Source organism: Homo sapiens, chromosome 15 (genome assembly GCF_000001405.40).
Source record: "Homo sapiens chromosome 15, GRCh38.p14 Primary Assembly".
In the NCBI taxonomy this organism is placed as follows: Eukaryota; Metazoa; Chordata; class Mammalia; order Primates; family Hominidae; genus Homo; species Homo sapiens.
The window spans coordinates 23,926,564-23,942,507 of record NC_000015.10 but is presented as its reverse complement, the minus strand read 5'-3'; the positions used below and the strand labels follow the sequence as shown (position 1 = coordinate 23,942,507).

Below are 15,944 nucleotides of genomic sequence, written 5' to 3'. Positions count from 1 at the left end.
ATACTGGATTTTAATATCCTGCAGTCATGTCTTTCAATAAGTTTTTAGTGGATCCTGCAGATTCACTTCAAAATAGAGTCTGAAAGTAGGCTTTCTGGAATATGTATGTGAGGCACAAGCACCTGTCTTTGAAGATGTGGTTACTGACACTCAAATTGGTGAGTGGGGAGTAGGCAGTCTGATGGCAATGAAGAAAGATGACTAGAGTCCCTGGAGCTCGAAGTTCTCTTCCTGAAGCAACCTGTGTTCAGAATGATGGGATGCTCTTCCCTCCCTACACATTCATTCATTTCCTGTGCATGAGGTTATTGTTTCTGATTTGTTTTCTTTGTGCCAAAATAATATCTACACATTTTACTATTTGAAACAATTTTAGATATACAGAAATATTCATAGATAGTACAGAGAGTTTTATACATCTTTCAGATATCTGGAATGATAACATCTAATGTAACCATAGTATATATAGGAAAACAAAGAAGTTGTACGTGGTACTAAAATTTTAACTGAAGTACAGGCTTCTATATTTTACTAGGCTTTGCAGTAATGTCATTCTTTGGTTCTAGGATCTAATCCAGGATGCCACATTACATTTACTATCTGGTGTACTACTTATTAGTTTCTGCATAACAAATTACCACATAATTAGTGCCTCAAAACCACACACATATTACTCACAGTTTCTCTGGGCCAGGAATCCAGATTAGATGATGGCCAGGGCTGGGCTCTCAACTGAAGGCTCACTTGGAAAAGGATCCCCTTCCAAGCTCATGTGTTTGTTGTTAGGATTCACTGGTGCATATGTCTAAACCTTTTAAAAAATTAATACCAAACTATTACCAATAGTTCAAAAAAATTAAAAATGACACAAATAAAGAGGAGAAGACAGCACTTCGCAATGCATTTTATGAGACAGTTTACCCTGATCTCAAACAGAAATGTAACAAAGATATTTCAAGAGAACATTATAAATGGATATTATGAATATAGATGTTAAATATGAGCAAAACAAATCAGTAACATGTAAAAAGAATTATACAGTATGACCAAGGATGTTTATATATCAGTAATGCAAACTTGGTTCAACAACAAAATAAATTAGTATTCATGCACTATATTAGTAAAATAAAGGACAAAATCCACATGATTATCTCAAAAATGAAGACTAAACACTTGCTCAATGCCAAATCAACTGATGATAAAAACATGTAGCAGGTTAGGCATAGAAGGGAACTTTCTTCACCTTAAAGACAACCATGAATAACTCACATAACATCATAATTTACTTGAAAGTTGTCCACTCTTGCCACTTCTATTTTTAACATTTTACTGGAAGGTATAGTAAGGACAAATAGGCTAGAAAAATAAATACGAATAATCTGATTTGGAAAGAAAGTCAACGATGCAAATGACATGGTCTTGAGAATGGAAAATTCTAGGAATTTTAATGAAATATAATTAGAAATAAAAAATGAGTTCATCAAGGTTGCAGTAAACAAGGTCAAAATAGAGAAATAAATTTCATTTATACACACTAGCAACTGTTAGATATGTACATTGAAAACTATAAAACTTATTCAACAAAAACAATTACATCCTAAATAAATGAAAAGGCCTTTTTTATTCACTGATTGAACGGCTTAATATTGCTAAGATAGCACTATTTTCCAAATGGATCTACAGATTTAATGCAGTCCCCATCGAAATTCCAGATGAAATTTTGCTTAAATTTGAATGTTGATTATAAAACTGGTATGTAAATGGAATAGATCCAGAACAAAGAAATTAATCTGCATAGTAAATGCACACTTCCTGATTACAAAATGACTACAAGGCAATAGTAATAAAGTTTTGTGGTACTGGCTGGGTGCAGTGGCTTGTGCCTGTAATCACAGCTACTCAGGAGGCTGAGGCAGGAGGATTGCTTGAGGCCAAGAGTTTGAGATCAGCCTGTGCAACACAGCGAGATCTTTTTCTACAAAAAAGTTTTTGGCCAGGTGCAGTGGCTCATGCCTGTAATCCCAACAGTTTGGGAGGCCGAGGAGGGCAGATCACCTGAGATCAGCAGTTCGAGACCAGCCTGGCCAACGTGGTGAAACCCCATCTCTACTAAAAATGCAAAATTAGCCAGGTGTAGTGGTGCATGCCTATACTCCCAGCTACTTGGGAGGCTGAGGCACGAGAATCACTTGAACCCAGGTGGCGGAGGTTGCAGTGAGCCGAGATCATGCCACTGCACTCCAGCCTGGGTGACAGAGCAAGAATCTGTCTCAAAAAAAAAATAAATAAAAGTTTTAAAAAACTTAGCCAGGCTTGGTGGCCCACATGAGTAGTTCTTCATACTCAGGAGGCCGAGGTGGGAGGATCTCTTGAGCCCAGGAATTGGAGGCTGCAGTGAGGCATGATCATGCCACTGTACTGTGGCCTGGGTGAGACAGCAAGACCCTGTCCCAAAACAAAAAGAAAAAAGTAAAAGAAAAAAAAAAGATTTGTGGAACTAGTATAAAGATAGACATATATACATCAATACAATAAAATTGAGTGTCCAAAAATTAACACTTACCTGCAAGATCAACTGATTTTCAAGTTTGCCAAGCAATTCAATAAGAAAAATAAATAAATATTTTTTAACAAATGTTGCTGGGACAAGTGGATATCTACATGCAAGTTGAACTCCTCTCTCACACCATATACATGACTGATTCGAATTAATCATATATCTAAATATAAGTGCTAGATAGGCCAAAACCATAGACGATAACATAGAAATACGTTTCAATGACATTAGATTATTAAACAATGTTTTCGAAGATGTGACAGATAATGCATAAGTAACAAAATAAAAAAGAGATATATTGGTCTTCATCAGAATTAAAATCTTCTGTGATTCAAAGTGCATCATCAAAAAGTAAAAAGAAAAACCAAAGAAGGGAGAAAATTTTTGCTAGCCACATAAGGATCTAATATTCAGTATATATAAAACATGTTTTAACTCAATAATAAAAAGGCAAATATCTAAGTAAAATGGCCAATTACTTAAATGTACATTTCTCCAAAAATGCTATAATTATAACCAAGAAAGACATGAAGGTTTGCTCAACTCCTTTGTTATTAGGGTAATGAATATTTAAACAATGATGGAGTTACATTTCACCAATCTAAAATGTGTATTGTTAAGTGAAAAAAGCAAGTGGAAAAGGCAAAATACTGTATAATTCCATTTACAGAACACTCTGGAAAAGACAAATGTACAAAGGTAGTAAAAAGATTGGTGGTTACAAGAGGCTTGGGAGAGAGAAAACATGAATATGAATTACAGCAGTTTTCTTTTCTTTTCTTTTCTTTTTTTTTTTTTTTTTTTGAGACGGAGTCTTGCTCTGTCGCCCAGGCTGGAGTGCAGTGGTGTGATCTCGGCTCACTGCAAGCTCCGTCTCCCAGGTTCACGCCATTCTCCTGCCTCAGCCTCCTGAATAGCTGGGACTACAGGCACCCGCCACCACACCGGGCTAATTTTTTGTATTTTTTGTAGTAGAGAAGGGGTTTCACTGTGTTAGCCAGGATGGTCTCGATCTCCTGACCTCGTGATCCACCTGCCTCCGCCTCCCAAAGTGCTGGGATTACAGGCGTGAGCCACCGTGCCCGGCCAAATTACAGGGGTTTTCTATGGGGCAGTGTAATTATTCTGTGTGACGTTACAGTGATGGATACATAACAGTGTTTTTGAAATCCTATAGAATTTTACAACAAAAAGAAATAATCTAAAAGCATGCAAATTTAAAGCATTATTTAGTAGGTTGGGGGAACCCAAAAAGAAATACACAAAATAATGTAACAGTATTACAAATGTATGAGTTATTTCACTGAAGGGAATGGGAGGAGGAAGGGGGAATGACCTGAGTAACTTTAAAAATGAGGGGAGAGTCTAAGTCTAAAAACCAAAGTTGGTGAAAGTCATTTCTCATGGGCATATGGATTACCAATTCTGGAAACACTGTGCATGTCTTTTCAGAATGTAAAACTGTTTACAGAGCCAATTGTCTCACTGTTAGAATGGTAGGCTACATACAAATAAGTGGGAATAGGTAAACTGATTCATCTGCTAATAATTTAGATTATGTGGTAATGGAGCATTAGTAGGAATTCATGTTTAATTTAATATAGATGCATATGGACATATATTGCTATATTTAGAAATATGTGTATATTTATGTGTCAGTATATAGAGATATATTTATTTTCTCGGTCAGCTGGCAAGGCTTTGAATCAACAGATGCCCCAGTAGCAATGAGTGGACCTGGTGCCCAGATCTTTGTTTCAAATTCTATTTTCCAATAAAAGGAACTAGGGCTTCCTGAAGACATGATGGATACTAGGCTTCGGGAAGGAATCAAAACACAAGGAGCCTGGAACACCATGCAGTGCCAGAAAAGAATATGCTAATCAACAATAAAACCAAATAACCAATCACACAACATAAAACTGTAATTACCAGAGTATTTCAAAATGATAGAGGATCAACTAAAAGACCTTTGAATGACCAACAGTAAAACAATTTGAGCAATAAAATAAATGAAGGAGTCCAAGCATGGTGGCCTGCGCCTGTAATCCCAGCACTTTGAGAGGCTACGGTGGGTAGATCACGAGGTCAAGAGATCGCGACCATCCTGGCCAACATGGTGAAACCCTCTACTAAAAATACAAAAATTAGCCGGGCGTGGTGGCACGTGCCTGTAATCCAAGCTACTAGGGAGGCTGAGACAGAAGAATTGCTTGAACCCAGGAGGCAGAGTACGTTGTAGTGAGCCAAGATCGTGTCAATGCACTCCAGCCTGGCAACAGAGCAAGACTCTGTCTCAAAAATATATAAATAAATAAATAAATAAATAAAGTGTAAAATAAATACACACATTTGCATACTTACAGAAATAAGTGATTTAATAAATATAAATGGAAGAAAATATACACACAAATGGTGAAAAACTAAAAATAATTTTTGTAGATATTCTGCCTGTTGGGAGATGGAGCATGACTCCTCATTTCTTATGTGATTAGTAACTTTTTTGATACATACAACATGGAAAATGAGGAAAGGTAATTTATAGTGGAGAAATTTCATATCAACTATCTCATCCAGGTGATCAAATGAACATCAACAGTGATAAAGTGTGATTTTAGTATATATCCTTGATATCATGTAATGAGAATGGCATTTTTTTTTCTCTGTGGTCTTCTACACCAAAATCCACAATCCACCGAAATCTTGTGAAAAACATCAAGTAATCCCAAATCAAGAATGCTCATGTCATCAAAAATGAAAAAACTCCTAGAAACTGTCACAGTCAAAAAAGCCTACATGATATCTAATTGTGATGTGGTATACTAGATGGGATCTTGAAATAGAAACTGGACACTAAGTGCAACAATGAAATATGAATAAAGCATGGGAAGTAGTTAGTGATAATGTATAATATTGGCTGGTTCATTGTGATAAATGTCCTACACTAATATAAGGGGTTAATAATATAGGAAATTCTGTGTGGGGAATACAAGAACTTTTATACTATATTTGCAACTGCTTTGTACATATAAAACTAATCTTAATTTTTAAAACTTTATTTCATTTTATTTATTTATTTTTGATGGGGTCTCACTCTACCACTCAGGCTGGCATGCAGTGGCATGATCACGGCTCACTGCAGACTCGACCTCCTGGGCTCAAGCGATCTTTCCACCTCAGCCTCCTAAGTAGCTGGGACTACAGGTGTGAGTTACCTTACCTGGCCTAATCTTAAATTTTAAAAAGAGAAACTTTTAAAAGTTTCTTGGCAGAGAAACTACCAAGTTTAAGAAACAGCCTTACCATATTTTGATGCCCCCTGGGGGCAGGCATCTCTCTAATGTCATCATCTTCCTTAGCTGTTACAATGAACTATTATGGTGAACTCTTTCTTTGTCATTCTCTACATTTTATTTACTATCTTTCTTTCTATGTTTGTATTTCTAAACTGTATATATTGTTCATTTTTTCTTGTCTTCAAATTTAGATAAAAGCAAGTGTTCAATTTAAACAATACTCCTAGTCTAAACATGAATAAAATCCCACAAATCCATATTGTGGGACATTCTACAAAATTTCTGACCACTATTTTCAAAAGGGTCAAGGTCATGATACACAACTGAAGACTGAGAAACTGTTGCAGACTCAAGAGGACTTGATGTGGCAGGCAGATGGCTACCAGTGATCCCCATCTCTTCATCTACATAACCTTGAATTCTGTTGTGTTTTTGCTGAGTAAGAATAAGAACTTTTATTCACTTGGAAAAAATATAATTTTGCAAAAATGATGAGATATCACTTAGGTAATTATACTGCGTTATGATTTCTGTCTTGCTAGGAACCTCACTCACTTGGTGGCTTTTATGAAGCATTTTGCCATAGGAGAGAAGGCCATTTGGCAAGGAATTGAGTGCAGCCTCTGGTCAACAGCTAGGAAGAGATTGGTGCTTTTGCATAATAAGCTGTCCTGAAGTTTGCAGTACTACATTTAAAACTAATCCAAGCCCCTTTTCAAATTATACGATATCCTTTGCAGGTAGTTTGAGTACCTTACAATAACAAAATAATCCTACTTTCTTCTCCAGTGCCTAGGATTCTTACTGTAATTTATTTTCAGTATACGTAAGCATACTTGCACATATACATATACATGTGCATAGATAATCACATAAATTGTTATTTTCAAGAAACTATTATCTGATAGAAGCTATTAAAAACATTAAAAATTCTTCTTTTTTTTTTTTTTTTGAGACAGAGTCTCTCTCTGTTTCCCAGGCTGGAGTGCAGTGGCTCAATCTCGGCTCACTGCAAGCTCCACCTCCTGGGTTCACGCCATCCTCCTGCCTCAGCCTCCCGAATAGCTAGGACTACAGGCACCCGCCACCGCACCCGGCTAATTTTTTGTATTTTTAGTAGAGACGGGGTTTCACCGTGTTAGTCAGGATGTTCTCAATCTCCTGACCTCGTGATCCGCCTGCCTTGGCCTCCCAAAGTGCTGGGATTACAGGCGTGAGACACCGCGCCCAGCCAAAAACATGAAAAATTCTTAAACCACTTAAAAGGTAAAAATCATACATCTTTATCTTGCTATCAAGAAATACCTGAGGCTGGGTAATTTATAAAGAAAAGTGGTTTACTTGCCTTATGATTCTGCAGGCTGTGCAAGAAACACGGTGCCGGCATCTGCATCTTTTGAGGGCCTCAGGCTGCTTCCACTCAATAGCAGAAGGTAAAGGGGAGCTGATGTGTGCAGAGATCACATGTTGAGAGAGGAAGCAAGAGAGAGGTGGCTAAGTGCCAGGCTCTCTTCAACATCCAGTGCTTGCAGGAACTAAGGGGTGGGAACTCACTCAATCCTGTGAGAATGGCACCAAGCCATTACTGAAGGATCTCTCTCCATGATCAAAACACCTCCCATCATGCCTCACATCCAACACTGGGGATCAAATTTCAACATGAGACCAAACAAACCGTATCCAAACCATAGCATGGGGCCAAACTAACCATACCCAAACCATAGCATGATATGTAACTTACATGAAAAGGAGAAAAACTATAACCATATGAAATGCTCAGCTAAAACAACAACAGGCAGAAAATGAGTGGAAGAAAAAAATTAAGAAAAAACGAGCAACAAATAGAAAACAGTAATGAATATGGCAGATATTAATCCAACTACATCAATAATCGTTCTGAATGGCAAATGGTGTAACTGCATAAATTAAATTAGATTTGCCAGAGTGGATGACAAAGAAGACCAATTATATATTTTCTCCAAAAAAATCTGCCTTTAATATAAAGCCACATGTAAATTAAAAGTAAATAGATGTAGCAAATAGCATAGTAGATAACAGTAATCAAAGAAAGCAAGATTAGCCATATTAATTTCAGATAGAGCAGACATCAAAATAAGGAAAGTTACTAGGAACAAAAATTGACATTACATTAAGATGAAGGGGTAAGTCTCCAACAAGAGATAACAACCCCTAAACTGTATCCACCTAACAATAGAACATCAACCTACATGAGGCAAAATGTGACAGAAATGGAAGGATGAAGAGACGAATTCAATATTACACTTGGAAACTTCAAGACCCTCTATGAGAAACTGCCAGATCCAGCAGGTAGAGTTGCAGTGAGGACATAGCTGAACTCAACAGCAACATCAGTCAACTGGTTAGAAATGACATCTACAGCCTACTTCATCAAACAAATTCAGACTACACATTCTTCTTAAGCTCATCTGGAATACATTTACCAAGACAGAACACAATCTGGCCATAAAACATACCATAAAAAGGAATGGAAATCATAAAATGTATGTTCACAGACCACAGAATCATAAAACTAGAAATCAAGGGATAACTTGAAAAATAACTAGAAAATCTTGAAATGCATGTGGACTGAACAACAAACTTGTTATAAATAGGGTCAAAGAAGAAATCACAAGAGAAATGTAAAAGAAAATACTTCTAAATAAAAATAAAACTAAATAAAAATAAAAACATAACACCGAAATTTGTGTGATACAATGAAACAACATATAGATGGAAATGTATAGCATTGAATGTATACATCCGAGAAAAAAGGTCTAAATTCAATCATCTGAGTTTCCATCTTTCAAACTTAGAAAAGGAAGAGTAATTCCAAAGTAAGTAAAATGAACAGTATTATATAAAGAGTAAAGTAAAAGTAAAAGCTACAGCTACTGGATTATTCAAACAAGTGTCAATAGCATCATGGTTCCCAGAATATAGAAGTATTGAAAAGTAATAGAAAAATATAACACTCCCCCAAAACATAATTGCTTAGGAGCATGTAGCAGAGATCCTCCTCTGAAATAAGGAGATACTAATTTGCAGAATTGATAAAAAGCATGGTATCACAGGGTAATGTCATTTGTTTATTAAATTGTATTGCATATTTTTATATTGCTAAAATAATAGATTTTTTAACTTTTCACCAGAAAAAAAAGATAAACTGGTGAAGCGATGGATATGTTCATTAAGTTTGATTAAATCTTAATTAAATGTACACATAGATAAAATCTAAACACATTGTAACCCATAAATATACACAATTATTATATGTGAATAAAAAGGTAACTATGCAAATGGTTTACCAATAATCTGACAATACAAAATTTAGGTAATTGTAGATACGTGATGGAAATAGGCAAATCTGACAGAAAGAATGAAGTTAAAATATCTGTCGTGGTCTAAGAAAATCATTAGGTTTGTATGAGAATATCACAGAACATGGAGGAGACATGCAGACACAAATGGGTAACATGGTAATGTCCACCGAGAAACGTCCTGTAAAGGTAGCCCACACCACCCACCGCTCATTTCCTCTTGCCAGAACCTCAGGCCCCTTATTGGCCTCCCCTGTACATCTGGCCTCAGATTAGCTCTCTGAGCAGGTTTGAAAACCTGAAATCCCCTCATCAGCACTGCCTGTTGGGCTGTTTTCAGCCTCCCATATGTGGGCAAGGGTGGCCGTGAGTGAGTCATACTGAATTTTCTGATCCCACTTATACCTGCAAAATGACTGAAGGGAGAGAAACCTCTACTTAGGGTGCGGTGGGAGGTCTGTGCGATGGAGGCACAGAGGAGATCTGGAGCATTTAAGGTCCCTAAGCTGGCCAGTCATCTAGCCTGGGGGTCCTCTCTGCCCCTCTCAACCCTCCCTCCTCCTGAGATCCAATCCTCCTGGTAATGCCCAAGGATCTCCCAGTGGGCAGGGGCCATCCTCATTCATTCCGTCTTCCTGAGAAGCATACCTCATGGACTGCATAACATTTCAAAAAAGAAACTGAGGCATTCCATTTCTTTCCCACAGAATGCAGTCCTCAGGGAGCGGCCCTGCCTTCCCTGTCTAGTCCCTCCATGGTCTGCCCTTCCTGCTCCTGCTTTCTCACGTATTACTCATCCCAGAAATCCTTCCAATCAACTGTCATCTTCTCATGGCCTGGCCTGTGCCATGGACACACTGTTTCCTCCTCTCTTCCCCTCCCCTGTCTGCTGGACTCACTGCTCCTCACTCTCCAGCATCTCCTCCATGCTCCTCCTCCTGGAGGCCTCCCTTGTCCATCCCATCCCAGGCCTGATGCCTGTCCCCTGAGTTCCCAAGGGCAGCTCTTCTACCTACAGTTTAGTTTTGGTTATATTTTCTGAATCTCCGTTGAACCAAGGCATCAGAAAATATGTAAACTTCTCTGTGTTGTTCTCCTGTGACCCCCCATGCATATAGTGGTCAAAGAATAATACGAAAGGTGCTGATCATCTAAAAGTCACACACGAGAAACTTTTAAAAATATTTATAGCTGATAAAATAAACATTAAGTTTCAACTCCCTTTCTACCATACCATTTCTATTACGTATTCTAATATATTTAATCCTCTACAAAAATATGTGCTGCCTAACATATATGTACACATTTTCTGAGTGGTATTTTAAAATTGAAAACTAAAGATGCTTTTAGTATTCACTTATCAAAGAGTAAGAAAATGATACAAATCTATATTATAAGCCATCTGTACAGAGATATGTCATGAATACTTTTAGAAGAACTACTTGGAATGAATCAGAAAGTCCAGCCAATGTTTCTAACTTTGGGGTAAGAGAAAAACAAACATGCATATTAACAAAATTCCTGTCCAGAAAATCGATCTCTCAATGCTCTGTCTACAAAAATTAGTAATTTTTAACCTTTAAAAACCAGGACAAACTGAATCATATAATGGCAATAGTCACATCTCTTATTCACAATGATGTTCTCAGCATATTTTGTCTTGTGGTTTCCAGAAAAATCTTTGTTCCTCTTCTTTCCAACTAGAGGTATTTTAGAGAACATTTCCAGAAAACGATAAAAGAGAGAATGCGTAACATCTGTCTTTCCTAATAAAAGTGATATTCCCATTTAATAAAGAGTAATGAATGAAAAGAAGAAAATAATTGAAAAGGTATGCTGAAAAATGATTGTAAATGCATTGTTAAAGGTAGGATGAAAGGCATTAATACACAATACAAAAACACACATTTGGGTTGTAGATGATGCCAAAAAATAAATTTATACACAAATGTTAAAAGCATTTGCATGCCAAAACAAAAACCAAGAAGAAATTATTACAAGCAAGGTTTGTGGGCATTGTATCATTGTTCAGTAAGAAGAATGACTGCTGAACTAACTCGATCTTTGTACAAAACAGCTGAATTCCCGCATGGTCCCCAAAGGGTAGCTGCTAGACAGGCAGATCCAAAAGAGAGGCTCTGAACTCAGCTGTACCTTCTGTGTTCCCATGCTTAATGGGATGGTCTGGAGGAGGTGACCACAGTCACTGGGCAGTCTGTACTTGTGCAAAAGCCATGCAGGGATGTCTATACAGGCTCCTGATCTGCTCCCTGTTGCTGCTGGAGTAGAAAGTTCCTCCGGCTTCGTAAAGCAGAGAAAGAAAATAAGGGGGCATGAGATTGAAAGAAACTTGCTGAGATGATACTAAGTGACACATGGGGTGGTGTTGGGGGATTGTTTAAGATGCAGCAGAACACTAGAAACATAAGTATCAACAGCAATGTTATAAAGTTCTATGCTCTCTGCTTCATTCAAGGCACAGCTTGGAATACTGGTGTAGGTGCAAGGCACACAGCTTTTCACTCTTCTATGTCTTCATTACACAATACCACAGTGGTTAAGAGAATGGGCTATTTGCAGAGATGTATGTGCCCACGAGGACAATCACATCACTGCTGCCTCTGACCAAGAGTATTTCTACAATGTCTATTTTAAGATGCATTTATATCTGAAATATGTGAAAATACCTACCGTAGGATCAACATAATATACCCTTTTTCTCTGTGACTACACATTTATCAGTGTAATGTCACTGCTGACCTGTTGTATTCTGGTCTATTATCGAAGGAATATGTTTCAATATAGGTTTATTTAACTTGCCCAACTGTATTTACCTTCTGCCTAGATACTGGAGATATTAGAGCTTTTAGCGAACTACCGGAATTTCTCTTTTAAATGTTGTAGTAAATACTTACAATTCTATATATTGCCTCAGAATTCATATTAAATATAGGTTTTATTTACTCATATCAGAACCAGGGTTTAGTCATCCATGACACCATTTCCAGTTCTCCACCTTCTTCCAATTCCTTAATGTGGTGGATCCAGATATCTCCTCATACAACCCCTCCAGGTCACTACTCCCTATGGGACAGCTAGATGCAACACTTGACTTGCCCCACTGACCTCCATTCCCCATGTACAATGTATAGACATTCCAGTGAGCACCTCTACATCACAGGATGACTTCATGAAACTCATGCCTTCTTGCTGTAAACCAACAGCTGGAACTTCCTATGAGAAACCGATTTGGGTTACACTCTGGAACCCAATAAAGGCTGCAGCCCACTGGTCCCTCATTCCATCACCCTCCCTTTGACACTCACCCCACTCCCATTTGCTGTGGGTGTATGTTTCAGACAGCTCTTGCCTTCCCATTGGCCTTGGGAGGCATGCTATTTTCTTCTTTCTGGGATCTTTGAGTAATACAGTGCTTCTGTTATTTCACCAGTTTTGTGTTTTACTCTGTCGTACACAACCAACACACCTGAACCTAAATTCTTTCTCATCTGGGGCTCTCCTAGAGAGTGGCTACCTTGGTAGAAGTAAACTGTACATAGGTCAGACAAGAGCTTCAAGGGCATGTGCTAGTATAAACAAGTTTCCTGTGAGAAGAACACCTGGTGACATCTAGGACATTTAGATATTAGGAAATACACCAGGATAAAGAAGTATCCCACGAAAGGTAGACATTGTAGACAACAAGGAGTTAATCTTCTGGAGTCCCATTTGGTAAGGCTATACTTTACAGCCACTGTAGAGAGACAGAACTCAAGAGTAAACTACAAGCAGGGTGCGGTGGCTGACGCCCATAATCCCAGCACTTTGGGAGGCGGAGGCCGGCGGATCACTTGAGGTCAGGAGTTTGAGACCAGCCTGGCCAACATGGTGAAATCCCGTCTCCACTAAAATACAAAAATTAGCTGCGCATGGTGGCACATGCCTGTAGTCCAAGCTACTCGGGAAGGAGAGGTGAGAGAATGGCCTGAACCTGGGAGGTGGAGGTTGCAGTGAGCCTAGATTGTGCTACTGCACTCTAGCCTGGGCAACAGAGCAAGACTCAGTCTCAAAAAAAAAAAAAAAAAAAAAAAAGAGTAAACTATAGATAACAAAGATACATCATAAGTGGAAAGGTAACTTTGTAGACTATGGTTCATAATGTTCATTGAGAAGGAAGATAGAAATAGTAAAGAGTTACTTCAAAGTTTTCACTTGAGTGAAATTCTCTGAAGACAGAAAAATCTGTATCTTGGAAATGTATGCCTTAATCATAATGTAATATTCTCAATCAGCTGCACTGCAAATCTAATTCTTCAATCCAGAATGATTATATATTTATATTTTCCATTTGTGTTAGTCTGTTCTCACATTGCTATAAAAAACAAACAAACAAACAAAACTGGCCGGGTGTGGTGGCTCACGCCTGTAATTGCAGCACTTTGGGAGGCCAAGGTGGACGGATCATGAGGTTAGGAGTTTGAGACCAGCCTGACCAACATGGTGAAACCCCATCTCTACTAAAAATACAAAAATTAGCCGGGCATAGTGGCGTGCGCCTGTAATCCCAGCTACTCGAGAGGCTGAGGCAGGAGAATGGCGTGAACCTGGGAGGTGGAGGTTGCGGTGAGCCGAGATTGCGCCACTGCACTCCAGCCTGGGCGACAGGGCTAGACTCCGTCAAAAAAAGAGAAAAAAAAAAAAAACTGAGATCATGCAATTTATAAAGGAAAGAGGTTTAATTGGCTCACAATTCTGTAAGGCTGCACAGGAAGCATGATGCTGGCATCTGCTCACCTTCTGGGGAGGCTTCAAAACACAATCATGACTGAAAGTGAAGGAGGAGCAGGCACAACACATAGCCAGAGCAGGAGCAAGAGAGAGGCTGGGAACTGCCACAAACCTTTAAACAACTAGATCTTGTGAGAACTCACTATAGTGACAACAGTACCAAGGAGAACAGTGCTAAACCATTAATGAGAAACTTCCTCCATGATCCAGTCACCTCCTACCAGGCCCCACCTTCAATACTGGGGATTATATTTCAACATGATATTTGAGCAGGAATACAAATCCACAATACATCACCATTCATCTTTCTAATCACATGAATGATGCTCACACCAATAACAACTTTATGAATAGTCACTGCAGATGCAGATGCATTGTAGTTTTCACAAAATGTTCTTCTCTGACCACTTGTTCCTCTGGTCAACTTTACTTTCAGGTACTTAGAAATGAAATGGGCTTTGGTGTTGCCTAAAGAGTATGTTTAATGAAGAAGAAATTCATATAATTTATAATTTAGGATGCTGGGTTTATTGGCACTAAAATTTTCAAATTCTAGGAAGGCTCGATTAAGTTAACAACAAGCCTTGATCTCAGAAACAGAAGCTATGCATCCACTGAACACTCTTTTCTATTCAGAATAGAGGGTGGAGACAGTGTTGGCTCCTGATGACATCTAAGACTTTAGACCTTTTCAATGGCATCTTTCTAAGAGTTCTTGTAGGCAGGGCAGCCTAAGTGAAATCTGGTAACAAGCTGTTAAACAGGTTGTGAGAAATCACATCTTCCAGGCTATCAGTCATGTTTGGGAACTCAGTCCTCAGCATTGTGCTGTCTGTGCCAGTGACATCATATTAGCACAGTTTTGTGTCTGAAATTTATTTTTTTTTAACTCAGCACACAGAGCTCATTGTCACTCTTGCCATTTTGGGATGGATCACTCCTTGTCCATATCCTCTTGGGTCTCCTTTATGGTCTGCCATTCTACTTTTTTGTCCCCTGAAGATTTTGGTGAGGGATGTTATTCACAGTATACAACATCATAATAGACTATAATGTATACATAAAAATGAAGAGGAAATGCATTTTACAAGTCACTTAGCTTATAGGAACTCCTGTTACAATTAACAGAATAACTCTCCTTGTTTTAAGATTATCAATTTAAAGGAAATTATCCTTATTCATGGAGCAAAATATAAGCATGGAAGAGTGAGAAGGATTATTGAAATACAAATGTCCATTTTAACAGCACCTAAATATCTGCTATCCTGACCTCAGTGGTGAGATATGTGGCCCAGGTCAGCTGTATCTTCTCACTCCAGGTCTGCAGGCTGCAGAAGCTCATTTTCTCATTGAAGCTATAACTGCAGCGTGGAGAATATTCTCCAGATTATGGACAATAGAAGCAAGAGCCTTGACCTTGTGGATTTCTGTGGGAGTGCAGTAGGTACTCCTATGGCTTTGTACGCTTTGTATGCATGGTTCCTGCGCACAGGCCTGGGGCTACCCAGCAGAGTGCTGAGATCTGTGAACAGGGAGCTGTGCATGGCATGAGTGGACCTGGTTTTTAAAGTTTCTTTCCCTTTTTATTTTCTTGTTTTGAGACAAGGTCTCACCTGTCACCCAGGCTGGAATGCAGTGGCACGATCTTGGCTCACTGCAGCCCCCGTCCCCTGGGCTCAAGTGATCCTCCCACCTCAGTATCCTGAGTAGCTGGGACCACAGGTGCATACCACGACACCAAGCTATTTTTTTGGTATTTTTAGTAGAGATGGGGTCTCGCTATGTTGCCCAGGCTGGTCTTGAACTCTGGAGCTTAAGTGATCCTCCTGCCTGGGCCTCCCAAAGTGCTGGGATTACAGGCATGAGACACCACAGCTGGCCAAAGGTTTCTTTTCCTGATCTGTATAAACAGAGGCTGGCCTAAAGCCCCATGTTTATTAAAGCCTGTTGTTGTTATTGTTGTTA

At 38.7% G+C, this 15,944-nt stretch overlaps 1 annotated feature.

Moving 5' to 3' along the window:
* Window positions 15,337-15,551: a silencer, noted in NCBI's record as "fragment chr15:24172104-24172318 (GRCh37/hg19 assembly coordinates)". NCBI's record gives its function as "represses an EF-1alpha promoter that drives an FKBP-Casp9 reporter gene in an ReSE screen in phorbol 12-myristate 13-acetate-treated (for megakaryocytic differentiation) K562 erythroleukemia cells {active_cell/tissue: K562(+PMA)}" and the evidence as "EXISTENCE:reporter gene assay evidence [ECO:0000049][PMID:32094911]".